Raw genomic sequence first — 3,890 nt, 5'->3', positions numbered from 1 at the left:
GAACATTTTTTAAAGAGATTTGAAAAATCTCTTTTTCAGATTTTCACATATCTAGTGTATTCTCACATATCTAGTAGATATCAATTGAGAACCTACATTTTTGTCTTTTAAAAGAATATTACTTGGCTGGGCATGGTGGCTCACGCCTGTAATCCCAGCACTTTGAGAGGCCGAGGAGGGCAGATCACGAGGTCAGGAGATGGAGACCATCCTGGCTAACACAGTGAAACCCCATCTCTACAAAAAAAAAAAAAAAAAAAAAAAAAAAATTGCTTAAGCTTTGCTGTATTTGATATATTTTAATGTTTAAATTTTGCAATGAAACAAAACTTAAACAAAAAGAAAGCCAGAGAAAAGAGATAAGGGAAAAGAAAAAGAATCAAATTGGTTGAATCCCAACACCCAAAGGCAACCTCTGTAAATGAACAATGTATATCATCAGTTTAACTTCTGTACCTATCATATAGATATCACAAATTTAATTAACCACATTCCTAAAATTAAAATTGAATTGGTTTGCAACACTGTGTTGCATCAACACCATAAAAAACATACTTGTAAATATATATATATTTAACTTCATATCCAATTTTTTATTTTTCATTTTTATTTTGAAAACATTTATTATACAGTGTCAGGATTGAATATAATAGTTCAATGAACAGCAGTATGTATATTATTTGCTTAGTTTTGCTAATCATTAACAAATTACTTGTTTTATATCTCTCATTCACTTTACCATTCATTCATATAGGTTTAGACTATTATTTTGGAACCACTTTAGAGAATGTTGAAGACATCATAACACTTCCCCCTAAATATTTCAGTATGTATCTCCTAAGGACAAGGATTATTCTCCTACATGATCACAATAAAAATATTACATTCAGAAAGGCAATTAAAAAAAAACCAGTTGGCCAAATAAGATCCTTAATGGCTTAAAGAAAACCCAGATGCAACAGGAACACTATTCTAATTATTCTTATCTTTCTTTAGCAGCAATACTATAAAGACAGAGGTGTCCTTCTCAGTCCAATGCATACATAATATCAGTTTCTCCCATAAATGGAAACATCAATTTGATCTTTTAATTAAGGTGGTATCTGCTACATGCTTTTCCTATTTTAAAAGTAACTTTTTCCATTTATAGCTAAAAAATGATCTGTCATACTTTGAGTAGTGTGAATTTCTGCTGGCCAGCAATTTCCCATTCTGTGTTTTGGTATCTACTGATTAGTTAAGGAATTTGATTACTTTAGAGCAAACGTGTATATTCTCTATAGACACTGTCACTTCAATAGGAGTGAATAATAGTTTGCACTCCCAGCAACAATTATGAGACAAACCTTACCAAGAGGCTATATTTTCAAGGTTTTTTGTATTTGAAAATCTGATTAGTAAGAAATGATATTAATGTAATTTGTTTCCAACTATCAGCTTTATTGCTTGTGAAATTTGACTAGGCTACATGTCTTAGATATGTGTCTGTCACCAGGGGTATGCTGGAGCTGCTGATTTGCAAGAGCAAAATCCAATTATGCACATCTCTTTCCAACTTTGCATGCGTTGACATCACTGTGGTAGTTTGAAATCTACCACGGTAAGAATACTTACCCTTTGAATATTAAAAAAGGATAAAATTACAATGTATTGCCCCTTCCCATCCTCTGTCCCGGCCAGAAAGGCAGAAAGGCAGTTATTAAACATTAACTAGCCCATAGCTCTTTGTGACCAAAATGGGCTTCCTCATACTCCCCAACTTTTACTTTCAACTTCAAATCTGGGATCTGCCTGTAGGGAGAATTAGGTGAGCACTGAGCTGAGAGGAGGACTGACCTGAGGCATATGTAGATGAGGGCAGACAGCCCTTCAGAGAAAGCTTCCCTTTGTGAGTGACCTTGGGCATATGCCTTTTTTCCTCGGTAGAGAAATATGAATGACTGTCAATCTCTTGCCATTTTAGCAAACAGATAAATAATTTCTACTCCTGTGGGTAGAAGGTGTAAAAATGGGAGAGGGGGTGGTTAGTAGTTTATGCTGATTATGCCTAAGAAAATCGAAGTTTCTGTTTTATTGGCTGGTAAGATCACAGATAGAGGCAGTGTATGGTTTTTCCTCTACTCACTAATTTTTTGATTACATTGTCTTTTCCAATTTAATACACAGAGAATTTGAGGCTCAGAAGAATTAGTTACTATACTGAAAGCAAATGAAAGACCAGTCTAGAATTTTTAGCTCTTGTATCTTAGCATGACAGAGGTGAAAGAGAGTGTAGAGCTCATTTGTTCAAACCCATCATGTTATAACTAAAGCTAAGTATACTACCAAGATTCCATTTCTCTTGCCCAAGAACAAATAGCAAGTAGGTGACAGAGCCAGAATTACAAACATAGGTCTTCTGGGTTCCAGCCCAGAAAGTCTCAGTGGTCCCATAGAAATCACATCCTTAAACTTTTGATATTTGTGCTCTTGGCTTCCAGACATGGACTCATGGACTTTGTGGTTCCAATCTAGATTTCATGAAGGAGAATGAAATGGTAGCAACTCCCCATTGAATTCTTGTGAAAATCAAGAAATCAGAGTTAATATAAAAACAAAATACTAATGCCCAAGCACACCTCTAGACCAATTAAATTGGAATAACTATCTGGAGGACAGATTCTATCATTGATTTATTTCCTATTATAATATATTTAATTTCTTATTTTAAAAGAGTAAAATGTATATTTTGGGGGGTACAGTTCTATGGTTTTAACAAATTTATCCAATGGTTGTAACTGCTACCACAAATCCTTGTGGTGTGCCCTTGAGTTAATCCCTTTCCCAAACCTCAGCCTCTGGCAACGACAGATCTATTTCCTTTTGCCATAAATTTACTTTTACAGGTAGTATACAAAGGGAATCATGCAACATGTAGCCTTTTTATTCTAGCTTATTTTACTTATAGAACATCCATATTTTGCATTTATCAGTAGCTTCTTTTCTATTGATGAATATGTATGACTGTGCTACATTTGATTTATTCATTCATAGCTGAAGTATACTTGGGTCATTTTCACTTTGGGGTGATTATGAGTAAAGCTATGACAAACATTCATGTACAGGTCATTTTTCTTAGGCAAAGATCTAGAATGGGATTACTGTATCATAGGTAAAGTTTTAGAGTTTTAAAAGAATGACAAACTGGTTTTTAAAATTATTATTTTGATAGTTTTTGGAGGACTGGTGGTGTTTGGTGACATGGATAAGTTCTTTAGTGGTGATTTCTCAGATTTTAGTGCACCCATCACCCAAGCAGTGTACACTGCACCCAATGTGCAGCCTTTTATCCATCACACCACTCCGACCCTTTCCCCCAAGACCCCAGAGTCCATTATATTATCATAATGCATTTGTGTTATCATAGCTTAGCTCCCACTTATAAGTGAGAACATACAATATTTGGCTTTCCATACTTGAGTTACTTCTCTTAGAATAATGGTCTTCAACTCTATCCAGGCTGCTGCAAATGCCATTATTTCATTCCTTTTTAGGCTGAGTAGTATTTTATGGTATATAGATATACATATTTTGTGATATGTATTATATATTGTGATATATATATTTTTGTGATATATACATTGTCTTTATCCACTCGGCTCCTTGGATGATGGACAATTAGGCTGGTTCCATGATTTTGCAATTGCAAATTGTGCTGCCATAAATGTGTCTGTGCAAGCATATTTTTCATAAAATGACTTCTTTTCCTCTGGGTGGATAACCAGCAGTGGGATTGCTGGATCAAATGGCAGTTCTACTTTTAGTTCTTTAAGGAATCTCCATGGTGTTTTCCATTGTGGTTGTACTAGTTTACATTCCCAACAGCAGTGTAAAAGTGTTCCCTTTCACCA

This window comes from Homo sapiens, chromosome 11 (assembly GCF_000001405.40).
Source record: "Homo sapiens chromosome 11, GRCh38.p14 Primary Assembly".
In the NCBI taxonomy this organism is placed as follows: domain Eukaryota; kingdom Metazoa; phylum Chordata; class Mammalia; order Primates; family Hominidae; genus Homo; species Homo sapiens.
Note: the sequence above shows the minus strand (reverse complement) of the source record.